General features: G+C 41.4%; 1 protein-coding gene, 1 long non-coding RNA gene and 1 pseudogene across 12 annotated transcripts in view; 2 read left to right on the top strand and 1 right to left on the bottom strand.

Moving 5' to 3' along the window:
• PPP2R2B (protein phosphatase 2 regulatory subunit Bbeta) overlaps positions 1–18308 on the top strand; it is a 500779-nt gene extending 482471 nt beyond the window's left edge. For 7 of the 10 annotated variants that reach the window (NM_001271900.2, NM_181676.3, NM_181674.3 and 4 more), the window contains 2 exons: positions 5988–6079; positions 8824–18308. In NM_001271900.2, coding sequence (NP_001258829.1) covers positions 5988–6079; positions 8824–9103 — 372 coding nt within the window. In that variant the 3' untranslated portion in view covers positions 9104–18308. The remainder of the gene's footprint in view (positions 1–5987; positions 6080–8823) is intronic. The other 3 variants (NM_001271899.1, NM_181678.2, NM_181677.2) reach the window with 1 other exon arrangement.
• The window catches only part of PPP2R2B-AS2 (PPP2R2B antisense RNA 2), a 59059-nt gene that overhangs the window by 23235 nt on the left and 8840 nt on the right, over positions 1–26984 (bottom strand). The gene's annotated exons all lie outside the window — the stretch shown is intronic.
• Positions 12850–12951, top strand: RNA5SP196 (RNA, 5S ribosomal pseudogene 196; annotated as a pseudogene).

Raw genomic sequence — 26984 nt, 5'->3', positions numbered from 1 at the left:
GGGTTAGATAAAAAGAAGTGGGGGATTCTAGACAGAAGGATTTGACTTACATTTTTTCCTTGAGATATAATGTACATAATAATCAGCCTTTCAAAGTGCACAATTCAATGATCTTAGTTTACTCACAAACCACCATTATCTAATTCCAGATCATTTTCATCATTGACATTTTTAAATGAACATTCTGGTTGTGCTGGGGAGGAGAAACTGTGGGAGGGACATTGGAAGAGACAGGAGAATAGTTATAACATTCTGGCAAGCGGCAATAGTAGCTTAGATGAGTGTATTAGCAATGAAGGTAGCCAGATTCTTGATATATCTCCAAGGTAAAAGCAATAAGGCTTGAGGACAAATTTGATGCGGGATATAACAGGAAAAGAAAGAAGCATCAAGGATTACTCCAAAATTTTTGTCCTGAGCAATTAGAAAAGTAGAGTTGCCAAGTTATTTAGATGAGAAAATCGAAAGTTTGGTTTTGGCTCTGTTAAGCCAATTAAACATCCAAACAGACACAGCAGGTAGACACTTCAATGTGAGTCTGGATATATTTAGCTTCAAGATATAAATCTGACACTCACAAGTATGTAGAGGGTATTTAAAGCCATAGGACTGGATGAGATCTTCTAGACAATTAGTATAATTAAAGAAGAGGTCAGAAAATATGACCTAGTTGAGAATAGGAAGAGGATTTGGCAAGAGAGATTTGGGGAAACTAGCCAGTGAGATGAGAGGAGTGACTAGGAAGCCAAATAGAGAAACTGTCTTAAGGAAAAATAAGTCATCAACTGCCAAATGCTTTGCTGAATCAAGTACAGAAGACTACGAACTTGGATTTAGTAAGTGGAGATTATCAGTAACCTGAATGACAGAGGAACAGCAGTAGAGCAGTGTGAATAAATGTCCAATTGGAGTGAGTTCAAGAAACTGAAGATGGGAACATTATGAGGACAGACAACTGTTTCAACAAGTTTGCTCTGAAGGAGAACAGAGAAATGGAAGGGTAGCTGAAATGGGATTCTGGCTGAAGGAAGTTATTACAGCATGTTTTCTGCTGATAGGAATAAGCCACTAGAGAGAGAGACCATTAGAGAGAGACCGCTGAAGGAGCAAAGCCCTTGGGGGAAGCCAGAGGGGATGGAGTCCATTGCAGAATTGGCTGTAGATGGTAAGATGCAAAGATAATTCATCTATCAAAGGAAGGAGAGTAGTTTTCTTATATAGATGAAGTAGGTTTGTGAATTTTGTGATGGGAACATGTAGGTGTTTTCTTTAGTAAAATAAGTAGTAAGGTCATTAGCTGAATGGGAAGGAAGAAAAGTGGTAAAGTACTCATCTAAGAGAAATGTTGTAGGGTGGTAGGGTTGCTCAGGGATCCACTTGAAATCTATATAATTGCTTTAAAGGGAAATTAACCTGTATGATTTTATGTTTCTTCCCAGCCACATTCACCTGCTTGGTACAGGTAAACAAAGGGTAGAAAGTAAGATTTAACCAGTGATGGAGTTTTGCCAAATGAGTACAATGGAAAGAGAGAGCAAGAAAGGCAAGCTTGTTGAATATATATGCTAAAGGAGTGATTGATTGTAACGATGTACTGCTGAATCGAAGGTAGGGAAAAGGGGAAATAATGAATTTTAAGAATTGATAGAATCAACATACTAGAAGGAGTGAACTAAAAAGACAGGAGGTAACAACAGCAACAGGGATAGCAATGACAGGTACAGGGATAGCAATGACAAGGTTCATAATATGACCAAGGAAGCAAAGGACAAAACACATTGAATAGATGAGACCATGTAAGAGAGAGACTAGAGTGCCTGAATAACTAAAAATAGTGGCAGGAATAGTAATGGAAGAGAGACAGAGATACAAACTTGCTTCAAGGGATGAGGATTAGGGACTCAGAACTTTTGATGGCTGAAAGAAGGACAGGTAGCAGGAAGCTTAGTTTGATGGCATGACTTCAAAGGAGTTGAAGACTTTAAATAGGAATAGTTGTCTGGAGCAACAAGGAGCCCAGCTACCCAACACTGGCATGTGGAGTGACAGCAAAATTCTAGCTACCACTTGAGTGTCTTCAGAGGAGATCCAAATTCCAGTCAGAGGAAGAAGAAGGAAAGGTTCAGAGAGGAGGTTGAAGACTTTGATGACTCTGTGTTCCAGCAGGGCTGGAGAAAGGTTTGGGAGCCAGAATTCACAGCCATATATGTAGTGGAGATAGCTTTGTTTCCCCTGTGGTCCATCGTACTCCCTGTTATTTAGTGTTCCTGTCTCCTGAATCCTACCTCGACTTCAGGGCTTGGCTCCACATCACTTGCCCCCAAGCTTTCATTTGCAGCCCTTCATCTTTAGCCCAGGACTAGAGTCACCTCAGTGTCCTCTTCCAGCTGCATAAGACAAACCTTACAGGATTCGAATCCTTAATGCAAAAGAAAGGGCAGTGGGAACTAGGACCCATGTGTGGCTGCTGGGGAGCCTTAACTAGGAAGAGTAGATTTAGGACAAAGCTAGTTTTAGAACACAGCCAGCTAGCTTTTACGTGAAGTAATTTAAAGATGATGGTAAACAAACTCTGATTCAGTGAGCCTCCAGAACACCATGATAGATTGTGAGGTCCAGTGGGAAAGAAATTAGTTAATAGGTTGTGAGGTCCAGTGGGAAAGAAATTAGTTAATGAAAGATCAGTTAATAATGCCTGCCCTGGGCAAGGAGACAGGTAATGCTACTATTATACATTTTCATACATGCATTCACAGATCTCAATCACATTTCCGTGAATAAAAGGCTGCAGACTTAAGTATGATTAGCTATTTTCAAGTTTTTCCATAGAACAAGGGTTGGCAGACTGCAACGTGTGTTCCAAACCAGCCCCCTATTTGTCTTTGTAGGTAAATTTTATTAAGACACAGCCATGTACAGTCATTTACATATCTTCTATGGCTGCTTCCATGCACAATGGCAGAGTTGAGTAGCTGTCACAGAGACCATACGGCCCACAGAGCTTAAAATATTTACTATCCGGCCCTTTGGAGAAAAAGTTTGTCAACACTTGAAATATAAGAACGGACCAATAGAGTTGGCTCTTTGTTTGCCTCATAGCAGTCCACTAACTATATGACACTGGACTCCCACAAATAAATATGAGAAACACTGTACTGGGACACTCAGTCTGGCGTCCAAAATCCCATGCACAAATTAATAGGATCATAGAAAAGTCATACTAGGAACATGAAGAAAGAACATCAAATAGGATGAGTTTTAAGTTCTCTCTTGCTCCAAGCTCTAGAGGTTGCTCATGTATACATCTCACTTTATTCTTTCCTCTAGTAGAAAAAGGTCCCTCTGGTTTGCCTAAGAAGACTTTTTTTCTGTGCAACAAAACATAAATACAGCATACCTTCATAGTAGACATTCTTTTTCTTTAAATGCTGTCAATTGGAGGCAGATAGGAGCTACCCAGACCTTAGGTATGGTGGAGAAATAATGGTTCAGACTAGGTTTTCCCTTGAATCTATCCCAACTTCTATCTTTCAAGAATTATTTACAGAGTTCTCAGCAATGTCATTCCTGCTAATGGGCGTGACTTCCAAAGCACACATGTTTTGACACTTATAGAAACACTGCAGGTGAGTAATAAGACAAAATGCCGAAGGTGAATGGTGACAGATGAGGAAAGGTTCATCACAAAGCAGACATATGGAACTAGACCTTAAAAACCTTGCCACTGCCCAGTTTATATACCTTTACTGCTGTGCCCCCTAGTGAAGGTGAATGAGTTAGTTTATAGCAGAGATGCCTCTGTAAGGGCAGGACACAGCCTCACCCTTGCAGCCCCCAAATGCACCTAACAATGCCAAGAGCACTGCTGTAGGGGTATTCCCTTGTCACCAAAGCACTGAAGCTGTTACCCTGACAAGGCCTGGAACTGTTTGGAAGTGAGAGAGTAAAGGTGGGGGAAAATTAATTTGCAGAGTTAGAAATAACTTCCTCTGTCCAAATAACTCAGAGCTTTTCAAATACCCAGAACATCTAATGGAACATAGGATGAGCCTGACCTCGTTCCTTTGCCCAAGACTAAGAGCCTGAAGCTCTGCATCCAGCAGAACTGTTGGAGTCGAAGGAAGAGAAAGAGCCGCAGTTGCAGGAAAAAAGAGATCGAATCATCACTCTTAACTTAAACACCAATGCCCTTGGTAGCCTCCCTCTGCTTTCACACAGTTCTATCTCCTTCTCTCTCAGCCTCACTTGAGTTCATTATCACAGCTCCTGTCAAGGACTGAGGACCCACCAGAGCAAGCTGGAGGCAGGTTGCTAGTGCAGCTCAGAGTGTGCACTCCAGAGCCTGATACCGGGGCTCAGTTCCCTCCCCTTCTGTCACTTTTTCTGTGTGATCTTGGACAAATGATGTCATATCTCTGTGCTTCATGCTCCATTAAAGTAAAGAGAATGAAAGTACCTACATCATAAGATGGCTTTAGAGATGAAATGAGGTTTTGACAGATAAAGCACCTGGCTAATAATGACAAGCCAGCATATTGGGTATGCCCGTTATTATTGCCACTCCGTGCTAGTGGGTTCAGGAAGGATTACCTTCAAAACAGAGAACCCAGGCTACTACTCTCTGAACCTTATTCATCTATTTGGCATCTACAGCTGAGTTGCTGAATGTAGCTGGAGAAAAATATTCAACTATGCTTGATGAGCCTTATTTGACATACATGTCCAACAACGTCAAGTGTCCCCTGGTGCCTTCCAGAAATCTGACACTGTTTCTCAACCCTTTCTCTCTCCTGCTCACTCTTAGTTGATAACCATGCTGGCTGCTTTCACTGGAAAAGAGAAACCAGGAAAGAATCGCCACATACTCCAGGACAGCACCTTTCACCTCAGAGTCTACTCGACAGCTCCACATGTAGACATCTCTAAACCATTGTACCCAAAAGTGAACATGGTACCTACTCCTTCCACTTGCTCAGGAGAAAGATCAGGGAGTCATCTTTGACTCCTGTTTTTCTCTCCACACCTCAGAGTTGACCCAAGTCCTATCTGCTCTTTCCCTAAACAAAAGGAGAATCTGACCAGTCCCCATCACTGCTCATGCCCTGGTCCAGGCCAGAATCTATCACTCAGGTTATAACTGGTCTCCCTCCCTTTGCCTTTGCACCCTTAGGATCCATTGCAACACAGCAGATTCAGCAATCCTTTCTGTGAGGTCTCTTCTTCCTCAGAATAAAGGGCCTATGTAAACTGATCATCCTCTCCCCCAGCTGCTTACTCACTCCTCTCCCACCACACTCCCTCCAGGATTCCTGCCTCTAGGCCTTTATGTTTGCTGTTTCCTATGCTTGGAGAGCCTTCCCCTCACCCCAAACCCAGACATCACTGTGGCTCATTCATCTCCTGCAGGCTTCTGCTCCAGTGCTACCTCATCCAGTGAAGCCCTGACTACTTGCCCTGTATAAAATAATACACCCCCGACAAGATCTCCCAGGCTCTTTTTCCATACACTTTTGTTCTATGATTTTATCACCATCTAAACATCTTATTTATTTACTTGGTTATATAATCTGTCACCTGACACTGGGTCAAAAGCACTGCAAGGATATTTGGCTCACTGCTGCATCTCAAGTGCGTAGTAGGTATTCAGTAAATATTTGTTGAATAAAAGACTGCATGAATGGTGATCTCTAATGCCTGTGAGCAAATCAGCTTAGAAAATGAGAATCTACCACTTATTTAGTCTTACTGGATGCCACTGTCTATACAAGCAAGCTTGATTAATCCATATCATCTACATGAGAAGCTCATCAACCCATCCTAATGTCCTACAGCTAAAAGGGCCAAGCCTAGGTTCAGATCCAAGGCCATCTGATTCAAAGAGCATGTACAATGAAAGATTTAACAGCTCACATCAGAAGAGGAGGTGTTTGCAGAAATAATTACTGTTTAAAATAATAACTGACCTTCTCGATATGTTTCCTCTCCAGGTTCATGACTACCTCCGCAGCAAGCTGTGTTCCCTCTATGAAAATGACTGCATTTTTGATAAATTTGAGTGTGTGTGGAATGGGTCAGACAGGTAAGAAAGGCTCTGTGGCTGAAGAACCTTCCAAAGATTGTCTTGAAGAGGCTCAGGGAATTTATCCTAAGTAGAGTACAGCCAAAGGGAGGTCAAAATTGGGCCCCAAAACCTGGCTGAAATGCATAATGTGGGCCCCTAGTGACCCTTGAAGTCAAGGCTGGAAAGAAGAGAAGGATGTAGTAAGGCCTTTGAATCCTGTTTCTGAACTGGCACAGATAACACCTTAATGTTAATAAGAAAGTCCTATCTTTTTCACACAAGACACCTCCAGCACTAGGTCAACATGCCTAAATGAAGATCACTTATCCACCAGCAAATTCCAGCCTGAACAGTTCAGATTAATGCCAAGTAGGCTTTCCAGATCAAAAATTATCCCTTGAAGCTGCTAGTGGAGACCTGGCCAACGGCCCTGGTAGTTCATTAACTGAATTCTAGTCAACCTCATTTATCACATTCCCTCAAAGTGATTTATTACTATTTTAAGGCCTTTGATTTGAACAGTGCTTCATAATACCTCCCAATAGTTCATTTTTAGTTTGACAAATACAAATGATTCTCTGATTTCCATGAGAACTAAGTGCAAGCTACCAGGGGCTGATTTCGTTCCTTGATGAAGGTGGCACCAATAATAGTGTTTGAAAGCATAGAAATTCTGTTATGGCAAGACATTCAGAGATTCAAGCTTTCAGTGAATATGAACTGTCTCTCTCTCACACTCCACCTGTTTCTTGGCTTTCTTTGCCACTGATCCAAAATGAATCCCCTCCTTAGCAGGCTTGGAAGGAGTCTCCACGTGGCAAAGGACCCAAGTCACACTGACCAGTTGGTATAGGACAGAGAGCAAAGCAACTGTGACATAAGAACAAAATCCACCATGGGAAAAAGAAGCCAGCCCTCTCATTTTATTATTTATTTATAGGTATTTATTTATTCATATATTATTATTTACATATCTGTTATTATTGCTCAAGTTTTTCCTCTATCTTAGCCTTGATTCAAAAATTACACTTATTAGGCACCTACTATATACCAAACACATTCGTACACATCATTTTATTTAATCCCAACCACAGTCTAACAAGATTGCTTCCATCGTTCTCATTTTACAGTTAAGGAAACTGAGGCTTAGCAAGATAAAGTAATCTGCCCAACCTCATAAAGTAGTAAGTAGTAGAGACAAAAGTAACAAGTTTAGAGTTTGAATCCTAAGATCAACACTCTTTCTATAACATCACAACTGGGAAGTTTAATTTCTCTTTCAGATAAGGTTGGTAGTCTTTTTTTTTTTTTTTTTGGAAAATAATCTCTTACTTGTTTAAAAATAAGTCGGGTCATGGTGGGCAAGCAAACGTCAAAGTATGGGAAGCAGTGAGGCCAACCGGCTGAATACTTATGCCCCAGAGTCAACCATATGTGGGTTTGAGGGTGGACTTTACCACCAATTAGCAATGTGACACTGAGCAAATTACTTCTCTGTAAAACCCTTTTAGGGGATAATAGAAGTTGAAACGAGATCATGGAGGCAAAGCCCTCAGCGCCCTGCCTGACAAGGTGATAACAGTCCACTCGAGTACACAGACACAGTTCACAGTATCAGTTTGATGAGCCAGAGTAACAAAATCTAACCTTTGCTTAATTTACCTGGTACAGGTGACAACGTGCCCAAAAACACATCCCCCTTGCTGTGGCCCAATCTTGTCAGCTTTTTCCTTCACCTCTCTACACATCCCAAATCATTTGAGAAATACACGAGAGTTCCTGCTCTCCCATCTTAAGGAGCCAGTCAGAGCTCCACCCAGAAATGAGTAGGAGCCCCCCACTCCAGGGGAACCACCGTGTGATGGCACTTGGGGTACTTGCCCTGGCCCAAGGAATCTCTCCCTCCCCACCTCAGCTTGTCACCGTGTCTGAAATGTCACCATTAAACATTCAGTACCTTGCCTCTGGAAGACATTGGGTGTTTGCCACTCTCCTGATCGATTGCAGCTATGCCTAAGAGGGGATAACTTATAAAAATGTGGAAACCATCTGTCCATTAAGTGTGGGAAAAAAACCATATAAAATCTTTTTATTTCTCCATCCCAGATTCTTTTAAAATTTGAATTTCCTTACTTGTTTCCTAGATAAGACCATGATGACATCCATTTCGTAGATAAGTTTTCTAAAAAGGCCGAATTCAGAGCTAGTTCTCGGCAGGGGAGAGGTCGCGCCCCGGGTTCGTGCACGATGCCACTAGCATCTCTCCCCTCACTGCACTGATGCCATGAAGCCTTAGAGGCCAGACGGCCCAGGAACCCTGTTGACAGTGGCCAAACCTTAAACACGTACAACTGCTTATTGTTTTCAAAAGTGTGTCTACTTCGACAAACCTCATTCTAGTCTCACATTCCTGATGGGAGGTAGGTAGGACTGGGATCATTAAAACCAGTGGACACCTTTTCTGAGCCAAAGAAGCAAAAAGAATCTATTGAGCAAAAGCAAATTACAAGGAGAGTTCTCACCATCCCTCATTTCCAAACCCAGCCAAAAATCCTATTGCTTTCAGTGATTCAAAAAAAAAAAAAAAAAACACAAAAAAAAAACAAAAAGCCAATAATCACACTGCAGAGCCTGTTCTCATTTTTTGGTTTTTGTTTTTAATAAAACCTATGGTGTCATAAGCTGGCCATAACATGGTATCATTTGCTCCAAAAAGAAAAGACAGTGAAGATATGTCATTGCCTTTGCTCTCTGCCTTGCAGTGTCATCATGACAGGCTCCTACAACAACTTCTTCAGGATGTTCGACAGAAACACCAAGCGTGATGTGACCCTTGAGGCTTCGAGGGAAAACAGCAAGCCCCGGGCTATCCTCAAACCCCGAAAAGTGTGTGTGGGGGGCAAGCGGAGAAAAGACGAGATCAGTGTCGACAGTCTGGACTTTAGCAAAAAGATCTTGCATACAGCTTGGCATCCTTCAGAAAATATTATAGCAGTGGCGGCTACAAATAACCTATATATATTCCAGGACAAGGTTAACTAGGTGGACAAGTTATTACTTAATAATCTCACATACTGAATACTAGTCAAACAAGTTTTTAAATGTTTCTTTGGGTCTTCATTTGATGCATTGACTTTAATTTCCCTATACAGGAAATGATTGGAATAGAATTAAAAGGAGTCCAACATTCCCAGCTCCCCAGTTCTAAGAAACTTTTGTCAAACCCAATAGGTTTGGGACACTTCTGTTTAGAATTGAAAGCTGCCAGCTAACAGTAATTCTTCCATAGTTGACTTGAACTTCTGATGCTTTTATTGCCCAGTTTTCTCTGGTGGGTCCAGTGTTTTGTTCCTAGGTGTCTGCTGCGATAAAATGAGGTTGTCTGTAGTATTTAAGGAGAAAAGAGATAAGTTTTTTTTAATTAAGCAATTCCATTTGATTGAAAAAAATCAACAAAAAATAAACACCGTTTACTCTTAGACAAATTCTTCTTGTTTTGTGAAAAACCAGAACTAGTCAGTATCTCCTGCCCCTCCACCATTTTTTTTTCCATTTTCCATTTTCCTTTGAACAATTTCATTTAAGCCAGAGATTTATTGCATGAAGCTGAGAAGAGGATGCAGAATGACAAGGAAAGGGCACATCAACCCTGCTATGCTCTTTTTTTGTAAGCTCCATAGAAACAGCCTGAGAATTTGGCTAGGGAACTTGAATGCTTCAGGGGACAGAAAGAGAGCACTTTCGACACAGTGCTTCCCAGAGTGAGCTTGGCAGGGCCAGGCGGGGCCAAATTCCATCTGCTGCCTTGTTACTCTTGCTTTTTGTGCTCTTAAATGGCTCCATATAATCTTCTACTTACATGTTCCTTGGCTTTTTTCTCTTCAACCTTTTCCAGCTTATTTATTCCATTGACTTCTAAAGGCCGAGTCCTGGGTGCTTATTATCTGGTGTTCTAAATGAAGCAGTAAGTTGGAAGCAGTGCCACCACCCCTGAGTCCCTGAGAAAGGCTGGTCTGTTCTTTTTGGGTGTTTCTCCTAAGCAGCACCCTCCCCTCCTCCTGGTTTTGGTAACCAAAAGTAACAATCCATCAACCTCCATTGTACCTAGAACAAAAATAGCCAATAAAAACGCTGAGTTGTGAAGTCCAATCAGGCACTTCTAACTCACCCCAAGCTCGCCATCTGGAAAAACAGACCAGAAGGCTCTCTTCTACAGAAATGAACTGTGGGGAAATCAAGCAGCTGTGACATGAAGTGAATGAAGTCCACTTGAAGCTGTGGAAGATGGTTCATCCTTTTCCCCAGTTGAGGATCCAGATTTATAACTTCTAGAAAGCCATTTCCAGAAGGTTCTATGTGGCACACCCCTAGGAAAGGCACTAAATGCATGCAAAGGATTTATAAACTTAGGAAAGTAGATGGGTGGAGTCCAGAAAACTGGTTCTGGGTTAATATCTCTACATCTGTCTTGATGACTCATTTCTCCTAACTCCCATTTAGTGCAGGGTAAATGGTTTGAGATGAGAGTTTTTCAATGAAAGGGAAATTTTCTTTCAGTTTACAGATGTATTAGAAGTCCTGACTTTCAAGTGTAATTTGCTTTGGAGGAGGAAAAAATAGTGAAAGAATCATTTTATCTCAATTCTAAGCTACTATCCATTTACTAATAGCTTTTTGGCAAGGAAATAACTGTCACCTTAGGTAAAAACAGTCTTGTTAGATGCAGCCCAATTTCAGGAACATTAAAATGTAAAAAAGTACGTCTCAGAATTGAGGGAGCATGGGAACAAAGACGAGACTTTCTCAGTATTTCTCATTTTTCCTGCAAGGAAAGCCTCGCCTTAGGCATCTCAAGTAAAGTGGCTAAGGTGTAAACTCTCTGGGCAAGATTTCTGTCCTGACTGGGACAGTGTTCTTGGAGGAGACATGAGAGAGTCAGAAACTTCTGCCAGTCATAGAGAGTGATGATTTTGCAGAAGGCCACTGGGTTATTGGCCTACATTTACCACCGACTTCCTTTATGGCCTTTTCTCCACTTCTCCGGACTCAGCTCCTCTGTCTGTACCACGTCGGGGGTTGGGACCAATCATTGTATCTCAAACTTAAGAATCAACTCACATTTGTACTATTACTCATGTAACATTTTTTTAAGTCACCTTTTCTTAAAAGCAAGACTTAGCCTCCTCCAAAGAAATAATATGCATGAAATTTCAACTCTGATATGCTAGGTTTTTCCCTAACATTAATCACATAATTATCAATGTAACAAACATGCACCCACATACCACCTGAAATCATTTTGTGAACCACCAGGAGCATGTGTATCAAACTTTGGGACCCTGAGTAACTGATATGACAGAAGATTTATGCCCTTAGGGGCATCAAAGATGGTGGTTCTTCACATATTAGAGTCAGCAGGGCTGCCCATAACACACACAGGAATAATTTTTGTCATGGTTTAAGGAGTTCATAGGCCCCTTTGCAGTTTATCTGCGAACTCCAAATAAAAGCCCCTACACTAGTCCAACACCCTTAGCATATAGATGTACAAACTGGGATCCAGAGTAGGATGAGTTTGCCAGAGAAGAAAGAGCAGAGGGCAGCCATCCTCTCCTCCATCCCCTGCAAAGGATGCATTAGAGCAAACACCCAAGACTCCTGGACGGGAACAGGAGGGGAAAGCCCTAGAGATTAGGCCTCAGGGAGCAATAACCACCACGATGTTTCACAAATTAACTGTTCTTTACCAGGTACTGAACTAGGTATTTTACATGTGTGATCTTTCAGCCCCAGTACTGGCAATATTTCTTAGTTAGTGGCACATAGAAGTCAGTCTGTTTTCCTGCTGACACTAAAAACTACTTGAAGGCTGATTTGCTACCTTGCAACAGTTGGTTCGATTCTAAGGGCCCTATACTACTTTACCCCACAAGGCCTGCTGCTTGGTAAGAGCCATCAGATTACAACTGGAGGGTGTCAGTTGAATGAAGGAAAATGGAAGCCACGCCATCCCTGGCTTTTACAAAAACCATCCTTGCGCAACATTCAGTTCCTGACGTTAAAAACAAGTAATGCAAAAAGCTGAACTTTGGTAGACATTCGTACTCTTCTGTCAGGAGGAGGAAGATTAGTTAGAAAAAACAAAAAAGGAAGATACTAGCCAGCATCAAGAAGTGGGATATATAAAGGCAGATGGGCAGTGGGAATCAAGTTGCTTCTTAACTCCTTCAAGTTTGGCTCCTGCCTTTACTCTTCCATTGAAAAAAAAGCACCTTTAAACCTCTCATTGATCTTGTAATTAATTCAACCAAATCAACTTCTATTAGGCAACCAGCATATATAAGATGGAACAATTGCAAGGTGGAATAAAGATGAAGCTAAAATTCTGCTAGCTCAGTGGCCCAATGAAATAAGTCAGCTATCTCCACTAAACTTCCTTTGAATATTCTAGGGTCCATTATAATAAAAGGTACACACTCAAATGCCCAATTTCTAAGGACTTGAAAAGCCATAATTTCCCTCCCTTCAAGCCTACAGAGCAACTGCCTAAAGCTTCCCTCCCCAGACAACCCCAGGCCTCATTTCTTTTTCAGTCCCTTTGCTAGCTGCCTGCAGGGCTCAAGAAAGCCCTGGTAGGCCTCATAATGAGGATTTAGGGATGACACTATAGTCCACAGCCTGAATGGTGGAACCCTTACTAATTTTCCCTCTTCCGTGATGAATGTGTGGATGAAGCCGGTGTGTTTTTAATAATGCCACCCCACTTCCAAAACAAATCCCCTGACACAGTCTTTGGACATACCACCCTGAATGCACCCGATCTCATCTGATCTTGGAAGTGAAATGGAGTCAGGCCTGGTTAGTCTTTGGATGGGGGAAGTCTAGACACACCACTGAGAAACATTCACACTGCAACCTGATTCACTGTGCATCCAACATGCCTTCATCCACCTCTTCCCCCTGAACTTCTAAGTCAACTCTCAGGGACTGCTTTCCAAGGGAGCAACCAACCTGGTCAGTGGAAAAAGGATGAGACTGGGAGACAGGAAACGTGGGTCCTGCTCCTGGTAACCATGGAACTTAAGCTACCCACTCAGTCCCTATGTCAGTGTCATCACCTGTAAAATGGCCAGAAAGACATCTATCCTAGCTCAGAGAATTGTTATTGGGAGAACAAGAAATCCATTTACTTACAACTATTTTGATAGGTTTAAAGCACCATAAACTAATAATAGCAACAACAGTGATGGGTAATATACTATTGCTTTCCATGCCTCATCTCATTATCTCCTCTCCCAGACCCCATGGTGGCATTAGTATTTCCATTTTGCAAATGAGAAAATAGACTCAAGTTGTCAACCTAGCCAAGGGCACAAAGCCCGAGAGAGATGGAACCAGGACTCCAACTCAAGGTATCTGACTCTAAAGCCAGAGCTGTTAAAATACAGCTCTAACATACAATAGTTGCTAACATTTATTGAGCACTTATTATAAGCCAGGCTTTGTTCTACAAATTTCACATGTATTGACTTATTTACCCCTAAAACTCCAGATGCAGATACTATTGTTGTTCTCATTTTATAGATACAGAAACAGATGAATGACAACCAAATTTACACAGTTCACAAGTGACAAAGCCAGGCAGTTTTAGTTAAAGTTCTTATCCACTATCCCCATCATACATTATGTGTGTGTGTGTGTGTGTGTGTGTGTGTGTGTGTGTGTGTGTATGCATGTAGATGGAAGTTACTGATCAGAAAACAAGCCCCAGTAATGACCCATAAGCTCAATGAATTAAAGATTCATTGGTTGCCTGGGATGTGTCAGGCAGCCAGGTTCTAGACAAGGGGCTGGAGTTACTAAGATATTTAAACCACTGGCCCCTGCCCTCCAAGAGATGACACTCACATAGGAGAAAGTGCATATTTGCATACTGTAAACATTTTTACAATGAGATATCTATGAAGGGCAGAAGTCATACAGAGGAAGAAATAGTTAATCAATGAGTGATAAGAAAAGGTTCTCAGAATGTGTCATCTAAGCAGAATTTTAACTAAATTTGCTCAACAAAGCATGATACAGCGTTTCCAATAGGTAGACCAACATATACCAGAATATGAAGCAAAATCCATATGGCATGGAAACAGAAAGCCAATGTTTCTCTCCTTCCATTAGAAACACATTTTCGACATACTAGAACTAGCCTACCCCTTTTTCCTTTTGTTCATCCAATAACAAATATTTATTAAACCTTATTTTAAGCACTGTATTTAAGTGTAAAGTAGACGGAAAGAATAAAAGGAAACCAATATTTCCTGAGTAGTTATTGCAATGACAGGCATTGGGAGAGGCACTGTTTTAAATCATTGTTAATCACCTGATAGGTAGATGTATTATTCCATTTTTATAGCGAGAAACAGACTCAAAAGGGTTAGATGACGTAGCAGGAAGTTTTATCTAGATCTATCCTGTTCCAGATCCTATACTTCTTCCATCACAGTTATTGGTAATGCAGAGTTACCTTGGCTTGATTATTTTCCCTAGCGTGGATACTCACAAACACGCCATTTCTCTGTGACTAAATATTGCCTGACAGCTGACCAAGAATACAAATTTGGTCTGTCATCAAAGCAGAGAGTGAAGTCAAGTGGCTCACAGGTCTCCAACTTCTGACTTTGACCTTATTATGACTGATTAACTGTCCCCCAATTTAGATATTCCATGCCCCATTGGTTAAACTGCTGGTGGCAGAACCATCATGATCTGCCATCTCCGCTGATCCCTGCCTCAGCTGCAATCAAAGCAATGATCACTGTCAGGCCAGAAGAAGGGGCTTAGCCACTGCCAAGACAGATCCCAGTCCACTCCCAGCCTTCCCGCCCCTGCTGCTCATTCCCCAAAAAGTCAACCTGGGTTTTCCTGGGTGAACAGTGCCCACTGAACAGCTCCTGCTTGCCCATCTCAAGCCCTCTCAGTTGCCACTCCAATCATTTTGGCTGCTGTATTTGGTTTGAGAAAGAGTGGAGAGGACACTTCTTCATAACTCATATTTGACAGAAACCCAGAAATTGTAGGAACAAGCCATGATTGCTGTGATTCTTGCTCTGGTTGGCTAGGGATGCCCTCCCTTCCAGCCAGAGTAATACATACTTGTGGGAGTCATGGAAGACTGAGGAAGCTGGAGTAGAAGGGAACAGGGGCTTTCCTCAGTGGTAAAAGGAAAAGCAACATTTTGGAACTCTAAACAGTTGCTCAGTTGGGCGAATTTCATGCATTCATTCATTCATTTACTAAATGGTTAATGATTGTTCATGTACTGCCTGCCAAGCCCATGCCAGGGTGGTCTGTGGAAGCAGCAGTGACAGCTCCATCTTCACACAGCTCACAGATAGCGGGAGGTGCAGACAAACTCACAGGCAATGGTGGCAGTGGAATGTCAAGAGCCCAGGATACCGAGCCTGCCAGCCTGCCTGCCTGGGTTAAAATCTGAGCTCCACCATGTAAAAGCTGAGCAACCTAGAAAAATGACAACCTCTCTGTGCCTCGATTTTCTCATTATGAGATAAGGATAAAAACGACATCTATCTCATAAAATTGCTGTGAAGATTGCATGATTTAATATGCACAAAGCTCTTAGAAGGATGCCTGGCCCACAAATATGCATTCAGTGCACATTTCTTGCTACAGTTCTGCTAATCCTATAAAACATATGCACTATGATGGATGTGTCTGGGTGCCAGGAGGACACAAAGGAGCACTAACTCATCCAGACCAGAAGCTTCCCAGAGGAGGTGATTCCCAAGGTGAAATCCGAAAGATAAAGGGAGTGAGTTATCCAGGAGAAGAGAAAGGAAAAGCATATTCCAGACATCAGGATAGGACAGTGGAGGCAAAACAGCATATGCTATATATATATGGAATTCACAACACTCTGGTATGACTGATTAGTAAAAAGTAGGAAGGCAGACCAAGAGAAATAAGGAGACATGGTAAGGTGAGTGGGCAATAATGCATGATCTGAAAAATAATAATGCATGGACTTAGTGTGGTTCACATATCAGGAGCTTCTCCAATAGCCAGGCTATGAGGCACTAAAATGAGGAAATATGGTTTCCAAACTTCGCAAATACTTATAGTCCAGCCACAGGGGATATACTGATAAACTCAGCTCAAATGTCACCTCCTCAGAGATGCTTTCTCAACCACCCTTAGTTCCATGAGGACTGCATCATTGTTTAGGCCACTCCTGTATCCCCAGAGCACAGAACATTGTCTGGCTCATAGTAGGTGCTCAAAAGTTTTGTTGAATGAATGAACAAATAAACGTGTAAGGAAGTCAGGCACAGCACTTGCCCACAGGAAGCTTATAAGATGAGCGGCATGCCATTGGGAGTTTGAATGATATATGGAGATCCAAACAGGGCATCAGAGGACTGCTCAGAGGAGTCAGGGAATTAAGAAAAAATTGGGAGCCAGTGAGCCAAGATGTGTTAAAAGCAAGTGATCAAGCTTAGATTGCAGTGTTAGTTAATAGAGCATATGTGTCCCTGCCTGATGCATTACCTTCCCTGCAGTAGTTAGCCTTCTGGGACCCTGAAAAGCATGCAGAAAGGTTGACAGCTTACAATCAATACCATGTTCACTGATGCAGGAAGCAACATTATCACATCCAAGATATTGCCCCCACACCCAGGCTGCAGCACTAAATATTCCCCATAACAAGGCAAAGGGAAGTGACAAGAGCTATTATTCTCAACCCTCCCACTTGGAAACAAGAGGTGAGACAAACCTTCCCCTAGATGTTCTTAGGGAAAGGCAAGACCCCCAAAGAAATCTTTCAGAGCTGAGCACATGCCTAATACAGCAAGACAGGGATGGGAGAAGATTGGCATTTTCATTTGCCTGGGTGTCCACAATATTGCAGGGGAAGCTCTGTGGGCAGCTGGGAAATACAACAATAAATTGGAGGGGGATGAACAATAGGGTCAGTGGGGCTGTGTGCTGAGTGAATGCTGGATTTTATTCTACATGCCCAATTCACTCCAATAAGATAAACTTGACTTCCTCCAGTGTGGCTTTCTTATTTCAGCTTCTCTGACTGTGGCATAATTGAAAGTCATATTTCATCTAGACCATTGGTTTTCAACTCCAAATGCAGGTGGCTTATGAAGACTCAGCCTGAATATATAAAGAGAACAGCAAACAATCATAGTTGCATATTAAAGACAATCTATTTCTCCGTAAAGGAAAGTAAAGTGAGTCATATTACATACAAGCCACAATACAGAACTGATCTGAAATACACTGCGGAATGGCCTTTCAGTCTATGCTGGACTCTAACAGGAAAAAGGCAGAAGGTGGTCAATGGTGCATTTATTTAAACCCCTCATTTCCTCCCTGACGAGAAGAAGGACAACAGTTCTTATTTTTCATATTATTTTTGAAAAGGCAGAAAGGTTAATTATATATTGACATGATTTGGATCTGTGTCCTCACCATAATCTCATGTCAAATTGTAATCCCCAGTGTTTGAGGTGGGGCCAGGTGGGAGGTGATTGGATCGTGGAGGTGGATTTCTCATGCATGGTTTAGCACCATCTTCTTGGTGCTATTCTCGTGATAGTGAGTAAGTTCTCACGAGATCTGGTTGTTTAAAGGTGTGAAGAACCTCCCCTCTGTCTCTCTTGCTCCTGTTCCTGCCATGTAAGATATGCTGGCTCCCCCTTTGCCTTCTGCCATGATTGTAAGTATCCAGAGGCCTCTCCAGAAGCTGAGCAGATGTCAGCACCATGCTTCCTGTACAGCCTGTGGAACCATGAGCCAATTAAACCTCATTCCTTTACAAATTACCCAGTCTCGGGTTTTTCTTTATAGCAATGCAAGAACAGACTAATAGAGGTAATTTGTGATGTTTCTTGATGAAAGAATCAGCTGAAACTCGAGAATTAATACATTCATTGAAGATCAGACAAATATCATAGAAACCGAGAAAGTATCCATCATGGAACAAGAAAGTTCAGCTCAAAAAGCTGATTTTTTCAAAGTACAAAATGAAATACCATTTCAGGCATGGATCATGACTCAAAGAAGCTCTTCACTTTGACCAGCACGGGGTTGATTCATTAACTCCATTGTTCTCAAATGAATCCCACGGTGTCCCAAGAGAAACTCTGGAGAGGCTTCACCAAGAACAGTAATTATAGCTTTTCCATGTTATCTAGCATTCAATAAATTCTTCCTAATGTGACCTCTCTCTCTCTCTCTCTCTCTCTCTCTCACACACACACACACACACACACACACACACACAGCCTCAGTGTCCCATTAACAGGCTTCTTTCCTCTCAGGGAATCATCTCGGAATTCATTATCCTTGTAGAAATGGAGGATGCTTCCCAGCTGCATAAGGACCCAAACTGGAAGCAAAGATTGTAAATTTTTTTATTGTATTTTACATCAGGATTGGGGATCCATTTACAAATTAAGGCTCCACTGGCTTTGTTGATAATAAGGTTATATGACTCCACATAAGATTGTAACGACTTCCTTTTTTACATGCTCGTTATTACATAACTGTCCAGGTGGTGAGCAGTAATTAAACATTATTGCTTTTGGAGACATTTCAACTTACTCAGGCACTTTTGTGACCAGAAGGATGGTGACAACTTCCCAAGGTTACATGAAGAATTATTCCAAGGCCAGGATAGAAACCAGGTCTTTTGAACTTCTAAAATCAGTTTTATTTCATTGTTATTGTTGTCTTTATTTTTCCATGTGCCTAAAACCAATGAGTCGACATCCTTGATAAGAAGTTTTAATTCCTACCCAGGAACATTCAGCATTTTTGCCTGGTGTACCATTCAAAGACAGGTCTGCAAGTAGCCCTGGGGGAAGTGCCTCACACCAAGCCTCACTGACATCCATGTTTACACAAATGGGCTCACTGCATGTATCTATCACATTAAATATCATTTACCCACAAGATTAAATATTATTTTTCCTTCATCTGAGCAACCAAGTATTCCATACCTGATCATATGTCACAGTGTAAGATACAAACAAGGCACAATCCCTGTCCTTAAGGAATAACATCTAATACGAATGCCATCTCAACAGGATGACTTAAATACAACATGGTGTATGCAATAGCAGAAATATACATAGATTATTATGGGTACATAGAGTTAGAACATCTAATCCCCTGAAGATGAAAGTGAATTAGACCTTCAAAGATGACCGGGGCCGATCGGGGAGCACAAACATGAGCAATGGTTAAGAAGCACTACCTCTTTCTGAGTAGCACAAGCAGTTTGATTTTGCTGAAAGGAAAGACTCTTGGCTAAGACTGTCTCAAGTGCTAGTGAGGTAGCAGGGCCCAGATTGCAGAGGGCCATTTAGAGAGCTTAGACTTCACTCAAGCTGTGGAGTGCTGCTGGAAGATTATAAGAGAATTGACATCGTTGGAATCACATTTTTGAAGATCACTTTGGCAACTGTGTAAATGACACATTTGTAGTGGACAAGATTGAAGGCAGGGAGCCTACTTAGGAAGCTATTGAAGTGGTCCAGGAGAGAGATTATAAGAGTCTGAACTAGGGATGAGGGAAAAACTGAAGAAGTAAAATCAATATAACTTAGAGAGTGATTTGATGAGTGCTAAGAAAGAGAAGTGGATGAAGATGCCTAGATTGATAGCTAAGATGATAAACAAAGGCATGAACAGAGACGGAGAATAAAGAAACAGTGGTAGGTTCAAGGGGGAGGAAAAGATAGAGTCTAATTTTGGACATACTGGATTTGAGAAGCCAGTGGAGCAGAGAGGTGAAGAGAGATCCCCCAACAGGCCTCAAGATAAAAAGATCTATCACTGGAATGTCACTAAATATGATGGAGAGTTAGTCATCAGTGTGTAGTGGTCTTCATGGAGGCGATGACCCAGGGAAAATGCAGAATCTGAATATGTTAGTGAGGAGAGGACCCCAGGATACAGGGGAAGGAGACCACCCAAAGCAAAAGAGGAGGAGGCATCACAGGTACAAGGACCATTAGCAACAGATATCATGGAGATGGAGATAAGAGAATAGCGTTCTGTCTTTGAAAAATAGTTTCTCCAAATCATATTTACAAAAAAAAAAACCTGGTAGAAAAGTGGGTATGGGACTTGAAGGCAATTCACAAAAGACAATATTCAAAAGAATCAATGAACATAAAAAATGAGAAGGTTTGACACTAACAAACGTTGGCAAAGACATATTACAGCTGGAACTCTCATACACTAGTGGCAAGATTATAACCCAGCACACTTTGGAAAACTCTTTGTTATTACCTAGTAATATTAGATACTCAGATTCTATAATCCAGTAATATAGAAATCAATGAAATCAATCAATACTAACATATGGCAATACATATAATACCCTATGTTATACCTTATGACCAACTTCTAAGTAAATATCCAACAAATGCGCATATAGTACACCAGGAGAGAAATTCATAGCAACACTATTCACAAACGCTAAAATTAGAAAATACAAATGACCATCAATAGTAGAACAAAACAGTATGTTCTTCCCACAAAATGGAATGCTATCAATGAAAAGGAATGAATGATAATTCTTCACAGCAACCTTATGAATCTTACAAATATGAGGTTGAGAAAAAGAAATCAGACAAAAGAATATACGTTTTCCAACTACAATTACATAAAATTCACAAATGTGCAAAACAAGACTATAGTGTTTAGGGTGGTACTTAGGTGGTAAAACTATAAAGAAAAGCAAGAAAGTGGTTACTTTAGAATTAATGACAATGGTTGTCTGTAAGGGAAAGAAGAGAGAATGACCAGGTGGAGGGATTCAGAGGGGCTTCAGGGAGGCTGACACACTACAAATTTACCATTTTAAAGGACTTTCCCTTTATGATAATTCATTAAGTTCTAGATTTGTTCTTTGTGATTTTCTGTTTGTGTATTATACTTCATAAAAAGATATTTAAAAGGCTAACACAGGGACCAAACACCCTAACAACATAAGTTAGGATTTTTGGGGAAAACAGTCCCAAATGCATGTCATGAGCCCTGAAACGCCTCACTGCACCACAACCAAGGACAGTATATTTATGACAACTATGAGTCATGAAAAACATATTAAGTTAGTGCCATATTTGCAGCTAGACAAGGCAAGGAACCAAGAAATGCATACGTAACAGGATAAAGGAAAGTTACAAAGGTTGCAGCAGCTTTGACTGAAAGGGAAGCAGTGCTCAAGTTAGCAGTTGGGGATAGGTTTAACTTCTCTCCTTTCAGAATTCTTCCTCACTCTCCCACTTTCAGTGATCTTTTTGGGACAATCCTTAGAAAGAATAGCCACTAATTAGCAACTGGCCTCTCATGAGAGATGGGGGTAGAAAAGTTGCCTTCCTGCATAGCTATCTGGGCACATTACTGAAATATTTCCATCCAATTTTTCCATTTACATCAAATATTTACATTCATGTAATTAAATAAGCAAATGCACTAAATAGGCCATTATTAATACAATCAATATTTGTTTTTACTACCCAGAATTCTGATGTTTTTCCCACAGTAAACTCTCTAGATGTCATCTTAGGATGGAATACTCTTTCTTGACCTCCAGCCATATACGGTGAATGAAGCTGACTTCATTCCTAGTTTCAGGGATGGAGCAGTGGGGCTGGGCAGTTTAGTGATGACCAAAATCAGGCCAATCAGGGCAAGCAAGACTCAATTCTAGGGCTTCATTTGAGGAATCAGGGAACTAGATATGTTCTTTATGAAGGTGAAAAAAAAAGGATTAGGAGTAGGAGCAGCTGCAGCCATCTTGCCACCATATGAAGCCTAGGAATGGTAGAATCCAATATGGCACAGTTGTTTAGAGCAAAGGTTGGTAAATTCTTCTTATAAAGGGTCAGATAGTAAATATTTTAAGCTTAGCAGGTGATATGGTTTGCTGTGTGTCGCCAACCAAATCTCATGTCGAATTGTGATTCCCAATGTTGGGGAGGGACCTGGTGGGAAGTGATTGGATCATGGGAGCTAATTTCTCCCTTGCTGTTCTTGTGATAGTGAGTTCTCAGGAGATCTGGTTATTTGAAAGTGTGGTATACCTCCCCCTTCGTTCTCTCTTCCTTATTCTCTGGTCATGTAAGACATGCTGCTTCCCCTTCACTTCCCAGTCATGCTTTCTGTACAGCCTGCAGAACTGTGGGTCAATTAAACCTCTTTTCTTCATAAATTAACCAGTCTCAGGTAGTTCTTTGTAGCAGTGTAATAACAGACTAATACAGAAAATTCGTACCAGAGAAGTGGGGCACTGCTATACAGATACCTGAAAATGTGGAACCGACTTTGGAACTGGGTAATGGGCAGGAGTTAGTAGAGTTTGGAGAGCTCAGAAGACAACAGGAAGTTGAGGAAGAGTTTGGAACTTCCTAGAGACTTGTTAAATGGCTGTGACCAAAATGCTGATTGTGACACAGACAGTAAAGCCCAGGCTGAGGTGATCTCAGATGGAGATGAGGAACTTATTGGTAACTGAAGTAAGGGTCACTCTTACTATGCTTTAGCAAAAAGAATGGTGGCATTGGGCCCCTGCTCTAGAGATCTGTGGAATTTTGAACTTGAGAGAGATTATTTAGGGTATCTGGCAGAAGAAATTTCTAAACAGCAAAGTGTTCAGGATGTGGCCTGGATGCTTCTAAAAGCCTATGCCCATTTGCATAAACAAAGAAATGACCTGAAAATAGAACTTACATTTAAAAGGAAAGCAGAGCATAAAAGTTTGGAAATTTTGCAGCCTGACCATGCAACAGAAAAGAGAAACCCATTTTCTGGGGAGGAATTTAAGGCTGCATAAATATGTGTAAAGAAGAGCCAAATGTTAATATCCAAGACAATAGGGAAAATGCTTCCAAGGCATTTCAGAGACCTTCACGGCAGGCCCTCCCACCACAGGCCTGGAGACCTAGGAGGGAAAAATGGTTTTCTGGGCCAGAACCACAGCCCTGCTGCTATGTGCAGCCTTGGAATGTGGTGCCCTGCATCCCATCACTCCAGCTCCAGCCATGGCAAATGGGGCCAAAGTACACCTCTGACCATTGTTTCAGAGGGTGCAAGACCCAAGCCTTGGTGGCTTCTATGTGGTCTTGGGCCTGCAGGTGTGCAGAAGGCAACAGTTGAGGTTTGGGAGCTTCCACCTAGATTTCAGGGGATGTATGGAAATGCCTGGATGTCCAGGCAGAAGTCTGCTACAGGGGCAGAGCCCTCATGGAGAACCTCTACTAGGGAAGTATAGAGGGTAAATGTGGGGTCAGAGCCCCCACACAGAGTCCCCACTGGGGCACTGCCTAGTGGAGCTGTGAGAAGAGGGCCATGGTCTTCTAGAGCCTAGAATGGTAAATCCACCAACAGCTTGCACCATGTGCCTGGAAAAGCTGCAGGCACTCAATGCTAGCCCAAGAAAGCAGCAGTGGGGGCTTTCCCCTGTGGAGCAACAGAGGCAGAGCTTCCCAAGGCCTTAGGAGCCCACCCCTTGCATCAGTGTGGCCTGGATGTGAGACATGGAGTCAAAAGAGATTATTTTGAAGCTTTAAGATTTAATGTCTGCCCTGCTGGATTTCAGACTTGCATGGGGCCTGTAGCCCCTTCATTTTAGCCAATTTCTCCCTTTTTGAATGGGGGCATTTACCCAATGCCTGTAACCCCATTGTATCTTGGAAGTAACAAACTTATTTTTTATTTTACAGGCTCATAGGCAGAAGGGACTCGTTTCATCTCAGATGAGACTTAGGACTTGGACTTTTGAGTTAATGCTGGAATAAGTTAAGACTTTGGGGGACTGTTGGGAAGGCATGATTGTGCTATGAAACATGAAAAGAACATGAGATTTGGGAGGGACCAGGGGGTGGTATGATATGGTTTGGCTCTATGTCCCCACCCAAATCCCATGTTGAATTGTAATTCCCAATGTTGGGGGAGGGACTTGGTGGGAGGTGATTGGATCATGGTGGTAGATTTCCCCCTTCCTGTTTTCATGATAGTGAGTTCTCATAAGATCTGGCAGTTTGAAAGTGTGTAGTACTTCCCGTTTTGCTTGCTCTCTCTCCTGCTTCACCACAGTAGGTTGTGTTTACTTTCCCTTTACCTGCCACCATAATTGTAAGTTACCTGAGGCCTCCAGCCATGCTTCCTGTACAGCCTGCAGAACTGTGAGTCAATTAAAGCTCTTTCTTCATAAATTACCCAGTCTCAGGTAGTTCTTTATTACAGTCTGAGAACGGAATAATATAGCAGGCCATACAGTCTCTGTTGTGACTGCTCAACTCTCATTGCAGTATGAAATCATCTACTGACAATCTATACATGAGTGTGACTGTGTTCCAAACAAATACATTTATTTTAAAGTTACTTAAAATAATTTTTTTACAAGAATGGGCACAGGTAGGATTTGGCACACAGGACATAGTTTGCCTAAGCCTGGTTTAGAACATGGGCTTTAGAAACAGACTACATGGATACTAATCCTGAGTCCATCATTTGCACACTCCTGAACAAGTTACTTAATCTCTCTATGCTTCACTTTCCCCACTGTAAATGCAAGTGATAATACTACCACCTCCTCATAGACTCATTTTGAGGGTTAAGTGAATTAGTAAATGTAATGTGCTTATAAAAAGCATCTGAAACATTGAAGTACTATATGTGTTAGCTGTTATTACCATTATCATCATGATCATTATCAAAGGTGCCAAGAGACAGAAACCCAGTCCCGTGTCATTTGACTCCCAGATCAAAATGAGCTAAAAGCCGTTAGCCCAGCCTATTTAGTTACCTGAGATAATAAATTTCCTTTTATGCTTAAATTAGTCTGAGTTGATTTTCTGTCTTATAACTAAAGTCATCCCATCTGACTAAATGAGGGAAATCAAGGCAGGGATGACAATTCACCTAATGCTTATAACGTAACTTCTCTCATTTCAGCACCCATCACAGAAATCAATCAATCACAGAATTCTCACTCATTGAGCCCAGAGAGGGCCTCAGACATGTTTTTCCCCAAAAACAGGACTCTAAGCAATCTTTACTGTTCAATCAAAGTCAGCATATGAAATGAAACTTCTCTATCCCTGCTTTAGTTCAAGAATTCTAAAAGTTGATCTCCAGTAATATTAATGAGCTTTGTAAACATCCTCCTAGTATATTTTGTAATAGATAAAAATTTTCCAAAAAAAACAGACATTCTTAGGTGTGTGGTCTCTTTTTCTAACTCCTCACTTGTGAAACTCCATTCTATTTCAAACCCATATACTTTGCAGAAAAACTTGGGAGCTGTATTAGTTTATTCTCATGCTGCTATGAAGAAATACCCAAGACTGGGTAGTTTAGAAAGTAGAGAGGTTTAATTGACTCATGGTTCTGCATGGCTGGGGAGGCCTCAGGAAACTTATAATCATGGTGCAAGGCACCTCTCTAGAGGGTGACAGGAGACAGAATGAATGCCTAACGAAGAGGGAAGCCCCTTATAAAACCACCAGCTCTCATGAGAACTTGCTCACTATCACGAGAACAGCATGGGGGGAAACTGCCCCCATGATTCGATTATCTCCTACCAGGTCCCTCCCATGACATGTGAGGATTATGGGAATTACAATTCAAGATGAGATCTGGATGAGGACACAGCCAAACCATATCAGGAGCACTCTACAGTTCTTTTATCTTTACAAACTGACTTTCTTCAAGAAGGTGCTCAATAAATATTTTCCTGAAAGAGGTCAGCAGAGGCTGCTAAAGAACAAGTTTCTCCTCTGACCCAAGAAGTGATAAAATTAATAGACTTTAAAATGTACAGTGTCACTGATGTATGTAACGTCATTAATCTACAGTGGAAAAACAAGGGAATAATTAACTTGATGTGTTTTACATTCATAAAATAAGGGGCTTTTAAATTCAGAATACAAATGAGCCAGTAACCTTAATACTTTGTTTTTTCTTTTTCTTTTTGACCCTCATTCACCTTATTTATTTCAAAGGGGTTCAGATTTTTGTAAGCCCTTTCAACTTAGATGACAAGGCCAGCTATTAATAGACTTAAAGCCAAGTCATCAGCCAGTACTCCGCAGGTGTTAATGTGAAGGTTTTTTGTTTTGTTTAAGCTCTGGGGTACATGCGCAGGATGTGCATGTTTGTTACATAGGTAAGTATGTGCCAATGTGGTTTGCTGCACCTATCAACCCATCACCTAAGTATCAAGCCCAGCATGCATTAGCTATTTTTTCTGATGCTCTTCCTCACCCACCCTCAACAGGCCCCAGTGTGTGTTGTTCCCCTCCCTGTATCCATGTGTTCTTATTGTTCAGCTCCCACTTACAAACGAGAAAAATGGTGCTTGGTTTTCTGTTCCTGTGTTAGTTTGCCGAGAATAATGGCTTCCAGCTTTATCCATGTCCCTGCAAAGGACATGATCTCATTCCTTTTTATAGCTGCATAGTATTTCATGGTGTATATGTACCACATATTCTTTATCCAGTCTATCATTGATGGGCATTTGGGTTGATTCCATGTCCTTGCTATTGTGAACAGTGCAGCAATGAACATACATGTGCACATATCTTTATAATATAATTATTTATATTCCTTTGGGTATATACCCAGTAATGGGATTGCTGGGTCAAATGGTATTTCTGGTTCCAGGTCTTTGAGGAATCACATTGTCTTCCACAATAGTTGAGCTAATTTACATTCCCAACAACAGTGTGAAAGCATTCCAGAATCTCTGGGACACAGTTAAAGCAGTGTTAAGAGGGAAAATTCTAGCACTAAATGCCCACATTAAAAAGCTAGAAAGATCTCAAATCGACGTCCTAACATCACAACTCAAAGAACTAGAGAACCAAGAGCAAACAAATTT

This window comes from Homo sapiens, chromosome 5 (genome assembly GCF_000001405.40).
Source record: "Homo sapiens chromosome 5, GRCh38.p14 Primary Assembly".
Classification (NCBI taxonomy): Eukaryota; Metazoa; Chordata; class Mammalia; order Primates; family Hominidae; genus Homo; species Homo sapiens.
This window is presented reverse-complemented; position numbering and strand designations above follow the sequence as displayed.